Here is a 19,099-nt window from a genome sequence, read left to right on the forward strand (position 1 = left end):
TGGGGGTTTCTTTTTGAAACTAAAAGAGGTTTTCTAGACTCACTCCATGGAGACCACTTTACTTTCCATTTTTCTCAGATGATAACATCTGCAGGGGGGCTCCTTCTGTGGGTACATCATTTGTCAAATATGTGGTCCATATTGAGAACCGCATAATACTTATTAATTACCACAGTTGCTACTTACCGTGGGCTGCTAAGACTGCTTTAGATATACTGCAGATATTCAAAGAGAATTCATCGTCCACCCAACGGCAAAGTCCATAGAAGCCCAGGATGCATTCTGACCCTCATCCTTTAAAGCTTACTGAACATATTGATCACCTCTTTTCCAAAGGATACTTCCTATTGGAGTGTACTTTTAAAATCTATTTTTTTTGTCTTAATGTTTAGTGTAATGAGGGAGTATAGGATGAACTCAATGTACCTTGAACATAGCTGTTGTCAGGAATGAAGCCAATTTCATTTTGCCTGAATTAGGGCCCTTTGGTGTCTTTTCTGTATGCAGTTAATACAGTTCGTGTGCTGTACCAAGGGTGCGAATGTGACTTTTCATCAGGAAGGCCGCATATGGTGGGCACAGGGCCTAGCTCTGCCGTTTTATAGCTGCATAACTGGTTTCTTGACCTTTTATGAGTCTCTACTCATGTTTTATATGGAGACATTAGTCATCTCACAAGATTTTTGTAATGATTAGAATATTTGTAAAGTTCCTGGCAAAGGTTTGATTATAAATTAGCGTCATCATGAACGTTCAAGGTGGGGACCTTTTTTTTTTTTTTTTGAGGCAGAGTCTAGCTCTGTCGCCCAGGCTGGAATGCAGTGGCATGATCTCGGCTCACTGCAACCTCCTCCTCCTGGGTTCAAGCGATTCTTCTGCCTCAGCCTCCCGAGTAGCTGGGACTACAGGCACACGCCACCACGCCTGGCTAATTTTTGTATTTTTAATACAGACAGGGTTTCTCCATATTGGTCAGGGTGGTCTCGAACTCCTGACCTCATGATCTGCCCGCCTCAAAGTCCCAACGTGCTGGGATTACAGGCATGAGCCACCACGCCCTGCTAAGGTGGCAATCTTTATACATAAAAAACAGGAATGACTTCTTCGAATTGGTGCACTAGAGAAATGTTTTCCAGTCGCCTAAGCGTTTAAGCATGGTAAACAGATTACCATATTAGTTGCCCAGACCTTGCAAAACTTCATAGTGTTTGTTTGTTTCCCTTGGGAGGCTGTTCTGAGAAGGAACCTTTTCATTCCTCGGAGTTCTGATGTGTTCATTGGCCCCTGTTGTCATGCTGGATATGGGGGCGGTTCAAGGGGGGCTTGGGTGCCTGAGAAAAAGAGTGAAAAACCCAACTGCGAAAACCCAAGAGAAACCGAAAGAGTGAACACTGGAAAAAAAAAAAAGGGGGGGCCGGCGAGCTTCAGGACCTAAGCGGTTAAGGAACTGGCTTTGACAGGAAGTGGGCAGGAGGCTGTTTTCAGTATGCTCATGGGAACCCAGCTGGAAAGTGCTGTGGTGAGTGTGTGTGGAAAAAAGGGGCTTTAATCAAGCTATAAATATCTGTTTCTTTGAAGTTTTATGACCAACAATTAATGTTACTGGAAGGCCCATAAAAAGGGCTGTTTCTTGACTTGGTGGGTCTGAGTGGGCCAGGGTCGGGTTAAGATGCTAGCCTCGTGGGGTGCCATCCTGACAGATTCTACTGTGTGCGTGTGTGTGTGTGTGTGTGTGTGTGTGTGTGTGTGTGTGATATAATGTGTTGCATTGGTGTCTAAAGCCATGCTCAGTATATAGTTATATATTTCATTCATTCATCCGTTCATTCAGTTATCTCACGTTTCTGGAGGGCCCTCTATGTGCAATACCTAGTGATACAGCAGTGAACAAAGGAAATCCCTGCCCTCAGGGAGCTTTCATTCTACTTGGGGAAAGAGACGTGAAAGAAATCAAGACATGCAAGCAAGGATAAGTGCTGTAAAGATAATTCATTCCTGTTTAGAGGGCTGAGGACAGGAAGACGATGCTGTATGGCTCTAGACAGGGTTCTGTGATGAGTGGCCTGTGGACAGATTCCTGTCCGAAGAGGTGCAGGGTGCAAGGGAGGAGGGGACGGCAAGTATCAAGGTCCCGAGTGAGGCACATGCTCGGCGGGGCCCAGGCATGCCACCAAGGCCAGGAGGAGAGACTGAGGAGGCTTGGCCATGCCCTGCCTTGTTGGTTTTTAGAAAGACTCTGTTTTGGTTATTTTGTTTTTCTTTTTTTGAGACATCTGGAGTGCAGCGGCATGATCTCAGCTCACTGCAACCTTTGCCTCCTGGGTTCAAACAATTGTCCTGCCTCAGCCTCCCAAGAAGTTGGGACTACAGGCATTCATGCCACCGCACCCAGCTCAAATTTTTGTATTTTTTGTAGATACCATGTTGGCCAGCCTGGTCTCAACCTCCTGACCTCAGGTGATCCACCCACATCGGCCTCCCAAAGTACTGGGATTATAGGCACAAGCCACCGCTCCAGGCCTAGAAAGACTGGATTTTACCCTGATTGAGCGAGGGAGGCTCTCGAGGTTTTATTTGGTTCTGCCCAGTGACCAGCCACCATAACCACATCCTTCCCCCAGACTTTTTCCTCTTCCTATAAAACAAAACAAACAATGTGAACAACAAAAGCAAAAACAAAAAACTAAGTAGTAGTTGGGGCATTTTTATTTTAATGCTGCTTTTTTTTTTCTCACCTTTTGCTATATGCTGATCCCAGTGCATGAAATTTTTTTGTAATCTCATTCCTGTGTTGAAGCTCTTTCACTGCTTTCGTGAGCACAGATGAATTTGAAGGCTGCCAGGCAGTAGCAACATATACCAGCTTCCCCACTGGGTGTTCATTCTACCCAATTTTTGTTCATGTGGACTTCAGGAATCTGGGATTTATGATCTTCGGATTTGGCTCTTGGCTTGAGGCTTAGCCTGTGCAGTCATCTTGGAGAGAGGGTTTACTAAGCAAAGAACACCCCAGAACAATCTGGGGGAACTGTGCCCTTTGCAAGAGAGCAGTTTTAAAGTACCCTCGGGCAATTTAGAAGCTCCTACTGACTCAAGGATATTCTTACCTCTTCGTTAAAGCAGCTCGCCTAAGGACTTTGCTAGATAAAAGTTGGTTTTCTCAAGAGGGTTTCTGCACACACCCGACCGCATCTTTTTCTTTTCTTTTCTTTGTTTTTTTTTTTTTTTTTTTTGAGACGGAGTCTAGCTCTGTCACCAGGCTGGAGAGCAGTGGTATTATCTGGGCTCACTGCAACCTCCACTTCCTGGGTTCAAGTGATTCTCCTGCCTCAGCCTCCTGAGTAGCTGGGACCACAGGTGCATGCCACCACGCCCAGCTAATTTTTGTATTTTTAGTAGAGACGGAGTTTCACCATGTTGGCCAAGATGGTCTCGATCTCTTGACCTCGTGATCTTTTCTCGCCTCGGCCTCCCAAAGTGCTGGGATTACAGGTGTGAGCCACCGCACCGGGCCTCACGTTTTTCTTTTAAAGAAATGTGTAATTCAGATCAGTCTTGCTTTCAGGTAGTCTGAATTAGGGGAGTTTGCCTGTGTGCAAGAGAAGGCTTCCTACTTCATTTTCTTGTGTGCAGGGAGCCATTTATGACTAATAGGATTCATTACATGTGTGTTTAGCCCACCGATTATTAAGGCTTTAACAATATTAAAACCTAAAGAGATAACAGAGGGGAAGCCTTTGGGAGCTAGGAATCAATCGTGCTGGGTGGCTTGAAAACAGGGCAGTAAAATGGCAGCCGCCTAGCCTGTGGTCTTTAATATTAATAAAGCCAGAGGCGATATCACTTAGTTGTTCCAACATGATTGGTTCCTCATGGATGTGCACCCTTGCTCATCACCATCTCACCACCAGGCTGACCCTATACATCTTCCAGGAGCCCAGCTCTTTCCCCTGGAAATGGTTCTCTGAGTTTCAGCTGCAGTTCAGGGAAAAGGCCAGCAGCCACGTTCCTTGTTTTGTGTAATTGGTCTTTAGCCTGATCTGATTCATCTGGCGAAACCCCTTTTTCCAGTAAAAGTCGTTGGCGAGGAGTGAATTGTGATGGAAACAGAGACAGATGTATGTACCTTTCATGGACATAATTTCCCCAAGACTGAACACAAAAATGAGGGTTTTTGGAGATCTCTCTGGAATTAATGTAAACGTTGTTGAAAACATATTATTCTATGGCTCCTTCATAAACCCTAGGCCATCCCGAGGCTGTCTCACTCAGGCCCCTCAGCCCTCATAACCCCCCAGCTCCATAGGAGTGGAGTTTGGATTTCAACTAGATAAGGCCCATTTTCATGGATGGACATGTGAGTTTTCATCTATAATATAGAATGCTATTTTCTAGTTAGGTTGGAGCAAAAGTAATCGCGGTTTTCACCATTATATTCAATAGCAAAAACCGCAATTACTTTTGCACCACTACTTTTTACCTAGCAGTTCAACAGCTGTAAAGAAAGATGCTGAGCTGTTGGTTACGTAACTGTGGTACAGCCATTTCATAGACAAGTCTACATCAATGAAAAGAATGACACTTCTAAAGGAAAAAAAATGGGCAAAAATTATGTGTTTACATCTATCAGAAAAACAAAACAAATGTCACGGTGTGGTTGGGAGGAGGTGGGGAGAGAGGCAGATTTTGGAGGCGAAAGATACACAGAAACACTAAATACCTGTCTATTAATACTGACAGTAGTTGCGTTTAGGGGATGAGACTCTAAATTTGTTTATTTAAATTTTCTCATTTTAAAAAATGAGTCCTTTCAATTATGAGATCAAAAAGAAATGTTCAGTGGCTTATTGTGACCCAACATTTTTCTGTTTGATTTAGATAGAGCTTTTATTTGCCTAAAAATTGTGCTTGCAATATATATGATGATTTTTTTTTCTTTTATTAAATGAAAAAGAGTCATTTAACAGTCACAGTGGCTCAGCCACCACCCGCAGCAGGCAGTGGGCCCACTTCACCTTCCCAGCAGGCCTCCAGTGCCCGGTGCAGGGTGGCCCATTGGCACCCACAACAAACATCACGACATTACTTTTACCGCACACTTCCTGTCGAGGCACAGGCAGTGCTTCAGCCTTTTTGGTAACTTGAATGAACATCAAAAGGATAATCAGATATTAGTTAAACTTGTTCCTCTTCTCCAATCATTGATACTTTTCTCTCTTGCTTCCCCTCCCCCTGCCCTTCGACACAGAGTGACAGGCCTGAAGTAAAAAGGGAAAAGGGGAACCGAGTGACTCAGCCCAGAGTGGGCCTCACCGCAGCTTCCTGGCCACTTTCTCGCTCTCTCCTTCCAAGAGAGAAAGGGGAGGAAGCCCAGAGCCTTCTATCACTTAGTACCGTGTCATATACCACTTCCACAAATGCTAGGGAATGAACGAATACATGTATGAATGAATGAATGTCCATGGGGTCACTCAGAAGTAGTGGCATAATTTAGCCAGATAAAGTGCCCACCTAGCACTCATCCCACCTCCTCACTCCTCTATCCTGTGAATGCAGAAATACAATTCCTCATTTACAAACAACTGTGCATGTAGGGTTGCTTGCAAAAGTTCGTCGTGTGCCGATATTTCATTACCACTTTTGCCAGCGCTCTCGTCTGCATTTCCTGAGGTTTTTCTTTTTTTTTTTTTTTTCTTTTTTTCTTTGATACGGGGTCTCGCTCTGTCTCCCAGGCTGGAGTGCAATGGCACGATCTCGGCTCGCTGCAAACTCCAACTGGTTCAAGCAATTCCCCTGCCTTAGCCTCCCAGGTAGTTGGGATTACAGGCGCCCGCCACCATGTCCAGCTAATTTTTTTGTATTTTTAGTGGAGACTGGGTTTCACCATGTTGGCCAAACTGGTCCAGAACTCCTGACCTCAGGCAGTCTGCCCACCTCGGCCTCCCAAAGTGCTGGGATGACGGGTGTGAGCCACCGCACCAGGCCATTTCCTCAGTTTTAAAAAGCAAATAAGAAACAACAACAAACTGCATCAGAGTAACCGTTTCAAAAACCCATCTCAGGTCTGTTTTTTCTTTTTTTTTTAAGTTAGCATTTTCTAGAAGTTTTGGTATAAAATATGTACAAGGATACATATATAAACTTAGTGACCATCTGAAGATAAACCTGGAATGAGGAATAACAACCTCTCATTTAAAGGAGTTTTAAAGAGACAAGAGGGAGGAAACGAGAAGAGAATGACAGTGTTTCTTTCATTAAAAGGAGCCCAATATTTATTGAGCCAACAGGTTTACACTGTGTCTACCCCAGAGTGTCATCAGCCCAAACCAGATCAGCGTCGTGGGCGATTTTTTTCACTTTACTGCTGAGGGGATTTGCCAATCGCCTGGTCAGCTTCTGAATTCTTCGGGCACACAGGAGGGGCGACATGGTTCTGGCTTATTTCTAAGTCCCTTTGAGGTGATTTCTGGTCCACAAATTGAGGCAAAATAATCCTCACAATTTCTTGGATATTCTCTGCCCCAGCCCCGTTCTATTGCAAAGGAGGCTTCTCTAAAAGGCTTCCCAATGCCTTAGAATCTACTTAAGGGTATTTTTGCTGGAGAAAGAGCTGCTGTCTTTGTCCACCTGTCGTTTTCCTTTCTACCCCAACAGGGCTTTCTCCCTCTGGCTGTTTTATTTAGCGGGAGAAGACAGAAGAGATGGAAAAATGGACCCTGCATTTATAGCTGTTCCTTCAAGGAGCTCAAACTGCTTTCAGGCATTTCCTTATTACCTCATTAATCCTCATAATGGTCCCTTGGCAGAATTATTCTTATTTTCAGAATGGAGAAATTGAGGCACGGACAAAATAAATGGCAGGTGGAAGGTCAGAGAGCCAGGCAGCAGAAGAGGTGGGGGCAGCAGGATGGCTTCTGGTTTCTGCCCTGGTCCATCAGTCAGAATGTCCTCTTCAGATGAGGAGATGCAGGGTGAGGCGCGGGGGAGCTGACATTGCATAAATAATAAAACAAATGGAGCCACATTTAGTTATCACTCATCTAGCGGAAGTCGATCTTCTTGGGACATGAGTAGGCTCTAACCTGGCAGGTTTTTCAACATGGAACCATTATTTGTCACATGTGTTCTGTGTGCCAGGGACTGAGTTCTTCTCAACGGAGTTTACATGTGAGAGGAGCAAGGGACAAACCTCACAAATAGGAATACAGACCTCAGAAAGCCGACTTCACCCTTGCATACTCCTCCAGGTTGCCCTCGCCTCCCGCCTGGATCACTGCTCAATTCTCTCTCTCTCTTTTTTTTTTTTTTTTTTTTTTAAGACAGAGTCTTGCTCTGTTGTTTAGGCATGATCTAGCTCACTGCAACCTCTGCCTCCCAGGTTCAAGTGATTTTCCCACCTCAGCCTCCCTAGTAGCTGGGACTACAGGCATGCGCTGCCACACCCGGATAATTTTTTTTTTTTTTTTTTTTTTGGTATTTTTGGTAAAGATGGGGTTTCACCATGTTGTCAAGGCTGGTCTAAAACTCCTGACCTCAACTGATCCGCCTGCCTCGGTCTCCCAAAGTGCTGGGATTACAGGCATGAGCCACAGAGCCTGACCACAGTCCTTTCTTTTAAGGGCCTCCTGGCACCCAGCCATGTTGGGACCCTTTCAGTTCTTTCTCCACGGAGAACCAGAATCTCCTTTGAAAATATGTTAGATCACCTCTTTCTCCTGCTCCGAACTTTCTGAAGGCGTCCCCTGTTACTCGGAGTGCAAGCCATGCTCTCGAGCTGGCCATGGCATCCTGCGTCCTCTCCCTTCCCCCATTGGCTCTGTTCTTCCTGCCAGTGCTCTTCCCCCTGCTCACTGGGTTCCAGCTGTGCGGGCCTCCCTGCTGTTCAATGGAATGAGACCCATGCCCCTCCTGGTTATCCCACTCAGAGTGCCCTTCAACAGCTACAGGGCTGGCCCATCCTTTCTCTGTTACCTTCGGAGGAAGCCTTCTCTAGATACCATCTTTAAAACAGCAATCTTCCTTCTCCATCCCCAGCAGCACCTCTGACCCCCTTCACCTGCTTTATTTTTCTCCATATTATCATTGCCATCAATCCAAGCACAATTTCCAGTTACTTACCCATTTTGCTTTCTCCCCGCTCTTTGAGAATGCTGGCTCCAACAGGGCAGGTATTTCACCTGTTTTGTTTATGCCTGCATCCCCATCACTAGGAACCTCATAGGTGCTTAGCAAATTTTTGATCTTAATACAGAAATTGACTCTCACAGAATAAGAAGAAGGAGCTTGAAGCCGAGGTTTGTGCCCAGAAGATCTCACTAGATTCTTTATACTCTGGGGAGAAGAAAGGATCAGGGTCGGGTGGGGACATCTGTGGGCATATTGGGGAGGGGGCCAGGAAGAAGCCAGGAAGGGGGCATGCTGTCATTCGTGGGTTTTGCAACTTTCTGTGGCATAGAAGGCATAGAAGGATCTCTTCATTTAAAAGGTCAGGTTGGATTTTTTTTTTTTAACTTCAACACCAGTTAACTTACTTGCTTCCATCATACCCTGTAGGTACTCGTTATGGACAGGAATACATGTAGGGTGAAGGCTGCTCTGGGTCAGTGGATTCACAGAGAAGTCAGAATTCTCTTTTATAAAGAGCCTGCTTTTCTCAATAATTGCATAATGACGTCTTTGATTCCCAGGCCCTCATGCCTAGCTGTTTCCTTAGGCATTTATTCAAGATCCGAGATGCCATTCGCAATCCAGCAGGATGCATATTTGTATCTGGCTCCAAAACTTTTTTTTTTTTTTTTTGGCCCACATCACTGCAGCCCATGGCAGAAGAGTCTAGCAATTAGCAGGAACTGAAAGTGATAATTTATTGCAACCAACGCTGTGATCTAATAGTCACACATTACAAAAGCAAAATCCATATTTTGTTCGCAGTGGCACCGCAGCGCTATCATATGCTCCACATGCTTTCTAATGTCTTTTGTTTGTATTAGGAAAAAACATAACCCTCTCCTACTGAGAACCAGAGAGAGCCCCTCAGGTTCTGAGAATGACGACATTCAACATCGTACTCCAAAGGGGGTTAGGTTTGTGTGCTAGGGGTGAACGCTGTGCAATTTAATTCTGTTTCCAAAAGATCTTTGGAGGATAAAGGATACTTTCTGTCTTTTATTTAGGGAAGGCGATCATGTTGGCACAGGGCATAAGAGAGTAGCGGGGCTGAGAGTGGGAACTGAGGAGATTCAAGCCTTTTGCCCGTCGATCGCAGTTCAGATCTGTTGATTTTGACCATTGCATCTTGCCTCACATCTGAACTTCAGGTGAAGTTTCAAACCACCAGGCAACATGCATTACAGGCAAAATGATAAGTCAGGTCCTGCCGGGTGACTAAGGCAGTGTGGCAATGCTTCAAGCCTTTAAAACCATATCCCAGTGGCCCCAAAGCATTAATATGTCTGGAACATTGCCTGTCCAATATCTAGAGAGGCGCCTGCAGAATTTGATTCCTAGGTACATCAAGTTTTTGAGCTGGAAGAAACTTGAGACGCTCTTTAGTCCAGCAAATTTCAAACCTGTCTGCTCATCAGAATCACCTGGGAGCTTGAAAACACACAGATGCCTGGGCCTCACCATCCAGAGAGACATTCATTTGATTGCAGATTGAATCCAGAAGCTCTAAGCAGAGGCACAGTCACATTTGGGGACTCCTTTTATTTAGTAGAGGAGGAAACTGAGTCTCAGTGTCTGAGACAGACAGTGGGGATTGAACACAGACACCTGACTCCCAGTGGGTGGTATTTTCTCCTAGAGTGCATTTCTGCTTCTTAACCAGCAGAAGAAAGCCCATTAACTAACCCCTCAGGGGTCACCATGGGCAAAGGAGTGCATATTAAGAACTGTCTGGAAAGAAAAGAAGGTCATTGGAATCTTCTTCACCCCTTCCCTGGTACTGATGGTTGCATTTCAATGGATTTCTCCAAAAGCAATTATCACAGTGTTCCTGTGTGTTGAGCAAACTTCCCTTGTAATCACCTTAGCGTTTTCTTTTGTTAAAGAGTAAGAAGAATGGTTTCATAGTGAATTTTTCCTAAAATGTGCAGGGTGTAGAAGAAGGAATTGCACACAATACATGTCTACTAGGCAGGTCAACATAAATGAGTAGAGGCAGGTAATAACCCAGATACACTTTGTTGGAAAGTGGAATGCATAGAAATGGTCTTCATTTCTGCAAAGAAAAATGTACATTCTCCTTTTTTTCCTTGCAATATGTTGCCTTCTCTGTATATCTTTTAAAATTTCTACTTCTGATAGAGTAAAGGGTATAGTTTTGTCCGTTTTGTGTTGCTATAACAAAATACCTGAGACTGGGTAATTCATAAAGAAAAGAAGTTTGTTTGATTCACAGTTCTCATGCCTGGAAAGTTCAAGATTAAGCATCTGGGGAGGGCCTCAGGCTGCTTTCACTCCTGGCAGAAGGCAAAGAGAAGCCAGTGTGTGCAGAGATCACATGGGCAGAGAGGAAGCAAGAGAGAAGGGAAGTGCCAGGCTCTTTTAAACAACCAGCTCCCGTGGGAAATCACAGAGGGAGAACTCACTCACTACCATGAGGATGGCATGAAGCCCTTCATGAGGGATCCGTCCCCATGACCCAAACACCTCCCGGTAGGCTCCATCTCCTGACATCTTCACACAAGAGATCAAATGTCAACATGAGATTTGGTGGGGACAGGCAAACCAGATCCAAACCATAGTGACTATGATATATCTTTCACATTTCTCTTTACAAAAAGAAAAACAATGTAAGGTCCCGTGACAATTAGCCTTACTGCCGGGGAGACCATAAGGAGTGGTGGAGACTGTGGTAAACTGCAGCGCGCACACTCTGTTAACAGAGGAGGTCACTTTCCATTCTAGCTGACTGTTGTCATATGAGGATACACAACTATGCTGGCCAGTTTCTTTAATTTTTTTTCTCTTCTAACAGAATCTAGAAATGTAGATTGTGTGTGCGTGTGTGTGTGTGTGTTTGTGAGAGAGAGAGAGAGAGAGAGAGAGAAATCTTTAGGAGTTTTAAATATTGGCAACTAATTCAATTTATTTCTGTTTTTAACATATTGCACCAAATACATGGGTATGGGCCGAAAATAACATGAACTTTTTGCAGTGTACAAATCTCTAATTTGAGACTTCTAATGAAAAGATATTTGGTTACAGTATGAGAGACAAGGGACTAAAATAAGGTTGTGGATCATTCAGGGTTAAATCAGAGCAACAGCATGAGTAGGAGATATATAGAAACAGATTTATTGCAAGGAGTTGGCTTATGCAATAGTAGGGTTGCCTAGGCAAGTCTGAAATCCATACAGTGGGCAGTCGAGAGAGGCAGACAGGAACTCTTGGCATATGCTAAAGCTGCTATCCACAGGCAGAATTTCTTCTTCTCCAGGAAAAGAAACAGTTCTTCTCTTAAAATCTTCCAAATGATTGACTCCGTCACACTCAGACCATCTAAGATTATCTCCCTTCCTAAAAGGCAGCTGAATAAGGGCTTCAATCACATCTACAAAATACTGTCCCAGCAACACCTTGATTCATGTTTGACTGGATAACTGGAAACTATAGCCTAGCCAGGGTGGCAAACAAAATGGACCATCCCAGGGTAGATGTTAAAAAAAAGATACCCACCAAAGATAAATAAGATCAAGATTAGAATGTCTTCTTTTGATAGGATGTCTGATTTTTCTGAATTTTTGTTCCTAAAACATAAGATTATTTTTAAAAGCCTGAGAAACGAGACATTAGTGATCCGATTCAGAAAAGAAGCCCTGGGTTTAAGCCAATACGAGATGGGTTTGTATCTTTAAGTGGCCTTTATTACCACAGTAATAAACAGCAAACGGGCCCAAATCTTACAGGCTTGTGTTGGCTTTGACCAATGAAGTAGAACAAGACCTCTGAATACCCCGTTAGTTCCAGGCTGTGCTTTGATGGCTCTGCACAGACAGCTCTTTTCCTATACAAGTCACCAGCCTCACCCGTGTCTCTTAACAAATGTTGTTGACAGGCCGCGTTGCAATTTTTCTGCATGTTCTGACAGTTTAATTCAGTACCTCCTAGCTAAGCACTCAGCCTAAGGGGGTGCTTCAGCACCTTGGCGTCACCAGGCTGCAATTAAAATAATTCAGGGACTGGGGCTGGGCTTGCAGAAATAGGCCTTCTTCCCTTTGGAACATACAATGCATTTTCCAGTCTCCCCGTGGAGCACACGAGATCCTTTTAGAGCAGAGGGCAGTGGAATGTATTAACAAGATGTCCACTGGCAAGAACTAGCTCCATTTGTATGTTGCACCCAACGGGGTTTTCTCCATAGGGGTTAGGCGTAACGTCTTTGGTAAACTTGGCACCTGTAGAAAGGTCTTGTGGTGGGCAGGGGGGTGTGAATGGGGGAATGAGAACTAGGGAACCCAGGACCCAGGACCCAGGACGAGAGTTCAGCAAAGACCATTTACAGAAGCTATCCTTCCAAAACGGCCACTCAGAAATGGTGTCTTTTATTTTGCATTCTGTACAGGAAGGACAAATGGAGAAAAGTCTCCAGAAATTGGCCTCGTTTGAAAGGACCTCATGCAAAGAGAGATCTTTGGAGACATTTCAGAAAGGTTTTTATTCAAACATATTCGCAGCTTGTATGACAGTGGAATGTTTTGAAATGAGCTTGATTCTGTTTACCCATCCTTCTTAATCCAACAACTCTGCTGGTCTCTCTGCTGACACAAGATCGTTCGCAGGTTATAGAAGGATTTAACACGTCAGGTAAGGTGGAATTTGGTAAATTCCCCAAATTTACAAATAGATGAAAGTTGGGTAAATTCCCCAAAATTACTTGATGACAAAGATCATTTGGGAGAGATTCTTTCAAAAATGCCTACTCCCTATTCCCATATCCCAGCCTAAGGGAATGAGTTTAAGTGGGTCTACAGTGGGTCCTGGGAATTTGCTTCTTATCTAGCATCCCTGGTGAATCTTTTCATTCAAGCCAATGCAGGAAGTAGTCCTCTGAAATACATGTCCACAGAACACGCCGTGCTTTCCAGAAGACGCAACAGACAGAAACTTTCCAAAGGGAATTACCTGGGATCATTTCTCATCCTCTCTCTCTTTCTCTGTATTACTTAGCCTTAAAAAAAAAAAAAAAAGGACTAATACTTCCTGCTTTCACATCTACTTTCCAGATAGTTTTTTCTAGAGGTAGGAGGTACATAAGAGAAACGTGTTTTATGGCTGTGGTTTTCAAGAAGTACAGCGTTTTGGAGAGAGTGGAAGGCTTTCATGCATGAAACACTCAGGGAGGTAGGAGATCCATGAGATCCAAGCTAAACAATTCTGGAAGAGTTACCTGAAGTTGACACTTAATTCAAGCTGCATCATCTTCCTCCTCCCAGCAGATGAAGACCAAAGGTGGAGGGTGGTGGGGGTGGGGGGCAGGGAGTAGGGGGGAGGGGGGGAGGGGGTGTGGGGAGGGTGGGGCGGGGGTGGGCAGGTTCAGGGACTGAGGCCGGAAGCAAAACAATGTACTGGAGTGCTTATAGTTTTTGAGGAATCAGTGAGAAATGTCATCTGAATGTCTCTTCTCAATCTTTCTGAAAGATAACTTGCCTATAAACATAAAATTAAAAGCTTGCTGTCTGCTTAGTTCAGGTATTGGGTCAGCGTCTTGTGACTATGGACAAGAGGTGTTTGACTCTAGGACTCAGCTACCTCATCTGTTAAATGGGCAAACTGGGAGGGTGTTTATCTGCATGCAACATCTCCTTCCATTTGAAAACTTTTATGAATGTATGGAATATTATTGAGCTGGTGTGTGCTAATACACTGCTAGGAGCCATTGGAGATTTGAAATGTGAGAGAATGCCTGCTGTCTGTCGCATTTACCAAACATCATGCTTTTCAAGATTGTTAAAAGTTGCTGAAACCCTTCTTTGAAGGAAATCATACTTTGAAGCTCAATATATAGCAAACGGGTAGAAGAGTTGCTAAGAGTTTGAAAATGATCTCATTAAACAAGAAACATATATACAGTGCCTACCTAGGAAAGAGCCAGGCATATAATAGCCACTGCATAAAGATGTCAAGTCTTTTGGACACAATCCTAATATCTCGGAGGTTCTGAAGCTAAAGGGTACATGTTTAAATTTTATTTGTTTCATTAAACACCTAAAGACTCTTTCTAGCTCACTCCTGCCAAAGGCAGAACTTGAGAGTGGCATTCTTTTCTGGTCTTTGAAGACGACAGGTGAAGGGCAGAATGTCCTGTGTACTTGGGCACGCACATGCAACCCTGGCTGGTGGCTCCTCCTCTCTGTCCTCTTCCTCCCTCTCTTCCTTCTCTTCCTTTTCTTCCTCATCCTCCTTTTCCTCCTCCTCTTCTCCTTTCTCCTCATCCTCTTCTTCCCTCTTCTTTGTGTCCTTGTTTCCATTTGCTTCTTGCTTTGGGCAAGTTCTCACCATAACCCTCTGGCAAAGGCAAATATTCACCTAAGTGGTTAAGTCTCTGGGCATATTTGTTGATCTCTGCTGAGTCTCTCAGCCCGTTTTCATCCCTCCTCTGCCTCTCCCTAGCCATTAGCCAAGGCCTTGACCTATTGACTGCAGTGTTGCCGAAGCAGCTGGACTCCGTGTTTGAAAGGTTTTCTGAAGAGGCATCTATTAATTTATGTATTTAATTTCTGTATGAAGTGACTGTTCTCCTCCCAGCACAGGTATTAAAGTACCTTTAGGGGAATCCAGCAGCTGAAATCCTCAGTAAGGAAAAATGCTTAGAGTGTCACAAAGCAAACGCATTAGTGGGAAATGTTTAGGGGCTCAAGCACAACCACAAGGATTCACTCCTTCCTTGGATTTTGTGCCTCTTCCCCTGTTCCTGAGGCCCCCACTGGGAACCCTTAGCTGGAGAACACCCGTTTCATTATGGAACATGGAGAAAAGGGTGATTGTCAGCTCCAATTTATTCCATACTATCTGATTCAATCTGTAGTTTGACTTTGCTAAAGGAATTAATTTTTAAGATCTTAACAAATCCAGTAACATTTAAAATGACCTATCCAGTCCATGCATATTAGCTATTCATAAAGGGTTTTAAACATTATTATTAATCCTAGATATGTTACTTAAACTATTAAGTCCGTTCAAGGCATTCAGTTTCTGAGTCCTCAAGGATGGTAAGGAGAGCTGCAAATGGGCTCCCTTCTCAAGCAAAGGCATCTTATGCCATCATGCACGTTTCTACACATCTGCCTGTAGATACACTCTGTAGGACAAACCAGGTGGCTCTGTCCTTCAGGCAAAGAGCTCCTTAATTGAAAATGATGTGTGAAATTTCAAGAGAGAAGTCTAGGAATGGGGAGATTTATGTACTATAGTCAGTAACCAATCCTGAGCAAAGGTAGGCACAGCTATGTGGTGGTGCCCTTTTTTGGGGGGGGGGGGGCGGGTGGTGGGGGTACTTACTAAGGACCTTGCCTAAGATAATCAACAATTTTTCTTTTTCAGCCCTGGGAGGCTCTAAAGCTGGAATCAAAAAGATTCACAACCCCACAAATAGGTGAACTACTCTAAAGCAATGGTTTTCAAACCTTGAAATATCCTAACATTGAAAAAAAATGTGGTAACATAGGGTTGCCTGTGTCTTATTTTGGTCTGTAAGGACATTAATAATGTTTTGGTAAAACCTCAGTTATCATCTGCTATTACTGTTATTTCATAAGACACATCATTTTCCTTCAAAATTACAATGAAAACTCATAAGCATACATCAAAGTTGAAAGAATTTTACAGCGAACCACCATTAACATTTTGCTATAATGGCTTTATCATATATCCATTCATCCGTCTATCATATTTGTAAAACAAATAATATTTTAATGCCAAACATATACAAAGGATAGATCAGTAATTTCCGAGAAATATTAGTTGACAACTTGACATCAAATTATGTACGGTTAAGTATTGATACAAAAATACGCACGAATATTAAGTGTTGAGGCAGATAGATGCACATATGTATGTCACCATGTACCTTTGTGTCTCCTTGCATTTAAAAATGCAGGTCATGATGTGTAATCCCCGTTCCTCTGTTGATCAGTGAACACAAATGCTGGGCCCCAGCATGAGTCCTTTTCAGAGAGTCATTTGGAGACCTACAGAAAAAAATGCCAAGAATGCACGCTGGGAATTCATTAAGAGATTTCAGGACGTTGAAATACTGTGCGTACTTGCAATCCCCACTTGACCAAAGGTGTCCAAACCTCGACAGACAGCGGCCAGAGAAGGCCCCATCATAGACTCTGCGCCTGGCTAATTACTCAGGAGCAAAGCAGGTCGTTAGGGGTCAGGGGGAGGGTGCACCTGTCCGCCACCCCAATTTCCTCATGATACTGGAAGGCAGTCTCCGGTCAGCACGGGGCTGGGTCTAGAGTTTTCAGTTTACAAAAGTGGAAAATGTGATATGACAGACTGGAACCAGCACAGGGACGCAGCCCCTCACCTGCTGGGGGTCTTTGGGTGGGTCCTGTAGCCCCAGAGCCTCTCGATGAGCTATGAACAGGAACAGAACCAGCACCCCGAGTGGTGACAGTGACAAAAGGGTCCTCAGTAACAGCAGTCTGCTATTGTTTTGAATCATTCAAAGGAATTTTTTTATTTTGATAGTGAAAACAATTTCTTTTAGATGTAGAAAGGGTAGAAAATACAGATAAGCGAAAATAACAAAAGCAGAACGGTCATCATCTCAAAACTCAGAGAAAAGGGCACCAACTCCATATTCGTACCCATGTACGTATTCATACCCATATCTATACACCTTCCCTTATCCCTGTCCCTGTCTACACCCACACCCATACCTAAACCAATATCCACATTTATATCTATACCTATACCCATATCAATATCTATATTTAAATCTGTGTATTTAGATATTTCTAGAAATGCATATATAGCTATTTTTGCTTTTATAAAAAAAGTCACAGAAACAATTATATTGTACACAGTCCTATATAATCTGCTTTCTTTTGTTTATAGAATACTGTGAATGTCTTTTTGTTTTTTTTTTTTTTGTTTGCGAGACAGGGTCTCACTCTGTCACTCAGGCTGGAGTGCAGTAGTGCAATCTTGGCTCACTGCAACCTCCATCTCCTGGATGCCAGCAATCCTCCCACCTCATCCTCCCAAATACCTGAGACTACAGGCAGTCACCACCACACCCAGCTAAATTTCTTTTGTGTTGCTATTTTTATTAGAAACGGGGTTTCACCTTTTTACACAAGCTGGCCTTGAACTCCTGGACTCAAGCGATCTGCCCTTCTTGGCCTCCCGAAGTGTTGGAATTATAGGCATGAGCCACTGCACTGGGCCAGGAATATCTTTCTATGACAGTAAATATTATTTTACATCATTTTCAGTGATACCATAGTATCCCATTATATGCTTTTCAGTAATAAGTTCGAAGCCAAGTTCCTGGATCAGCAGCATCAGAATCACCTGGGAATTTGTTAGAAATGGAAATTCTTAGGCCACTCCCCAGACCTACTGCGTCTGGGGGCAGGGCCCAGCCGTCTATATTTCAGCAAGCCTTCCAAGAGACTTCAGTGCCTGCTAAAGTTTGATGCCTACTGCCTTAAATAAACTTCTTCATCCCTTGTCAAACTTCCTAGGGGAGCACATTTTGAATTTTTGACCTGAGACCTCAAAACTTTTACCTGTGCTCACTCAGTTCAGGTGAAAGAATCTTTGGCATTCAGAAGCTTGTGTTCACACTCACCTACTTCTCATGGCATGATTCCTCTTACCTCTAAATTCTACTGACTTAATCAAGATTGAGGGATTCTGGGATGAATCTGGGGACACTTTTTGGTCCCTGAAATAAAATACGCAAACTTTGGAGTATGAGTGCGTATTTGGGGAAAGTATACCTATCAGATTTTCAAGAACTTCATGACCCTAAAATGACTCTTTCTTAAAATAATTTTTTTTTTTTTTTTTTTTTTTTTTTTTTTTTGGAGAACGGTCTGGTTCTGTCACCCAGGTTGGAATGCAGTGTCAGGATCATAGCTCCACTGTGTGACCTCAAACTCTTGGGCTCAAGCAACTCTCCTGCCTCAAGCAACTCTCCAGCCTCAGCCTCCGAGTAACTGAGACTACAGGTTGTGTGCCACCATACCCAGATAATTTTTTTTTAACTTTTTTTCTTTTTTTTTTTTTTTTTTTTGAGATGGAGTCTTGTTCTTATGCCGAGGCTGGAGTGAAGTGGCACCATCTCTGCTCACTACAACATCTGCCCCCCGGGTTCAAGCGATTCTCCTGCCTCAGCCTCTCGAGTAGCTGGGATTCTGGGTGCCCCCCGCAACCATGTCCCACGAATTTTTGTATTGTTAGTAGAGTTGGGGTTTCACCATGGTGGCCAGGCTGGTCTCGATCTCCTGACCTCAGGTGATGCACCCACCTTGGTCTCCCAAAGTGCTGGGATTACAGGCATGGGCCACCGCTCCCAGCCTTTAACTTTTTGTAGAGGCAGAATCTTACTATGTTGCCCAGGTTGGTCTTCAACTCCTGAGCTCAAGTGATCCGCCCTTCTCCGCCTCCCAAAGTGCTGGGATGACAGGCACGAATCACCGCGCCCAGCCCAAAATGACTTTTTATTTGTTATTTTTGATCTCATCCTTGCTGTTCTGTTTTGCCCAGGTTGGTCTTCAACTCCTGAGCTCAAGTGATCCGCCCTTCTCGGCCTCCCAAAGTGCTGGGATGACAGGCACGAGTCACCGCGCCCAGCCCAAAATGACTTTTTATTTGTTATTTTTGTTCTCATCCTTGCTGTTCTGTTTTTCCCAGTTATATCAATAACAAAGAAAAGAAAAGAAATCTACTCAGGGTCTGTTGGGCATACTGCCCAAGCACAGTGTGAAATGACTGCCTTTTCACTTTTTATCTTTTGGATAGCCCAAAGACCAGCCTGACTTAGCAGCCTGATTTTTCTTTGCTGGAGGCAGATCACACTCTGCAGATCTCCACTGAAACCCCACCCTCACCCTTCGTAATAGGCGACATGCAC

At 43.9% G+C, this 19,099-nt stretch overlaps 1 protein-coding gene and 1 long non-coding RNA gene across 3 annotated transcripts in view; both read left to right on the forward strand.

The window, feature by feature from the left end:
• WWOX (WW domain containing oxidoreductase) overlaps nt 1-19,099 on the forward strand; it is a 1,113,014-nt gene that overhangs the window by 988,913 nt on the left and 105,002 nt on the right. The window lies entirely within an intron of this gene.
• On the forward strand, nt 1,484-13,456 carry LOC107984806 (uncharacterized). The gene is made up of 3 exons (XR_001752381.2): nt 1,484-1,519; nt 12,569-12,810; nt 13,230-13,456. It is a non-coding gene; the product is annotated as an uncharacterized LOC107984806 (long non-coding RNA).

The sequence above is a fragment of the Homo sapiens genome, chromosome 16 (genome assembly GCF_000001405.40).
Source record: "Homo sapiens chromosome 16, GRCh38.p14 Primary Assembly".
Lineage (NCBI taxonomy): Eukaryota > Metazoa > Chordata > Mammalia > Primates > Hominidae > Homo > Homo sapiens.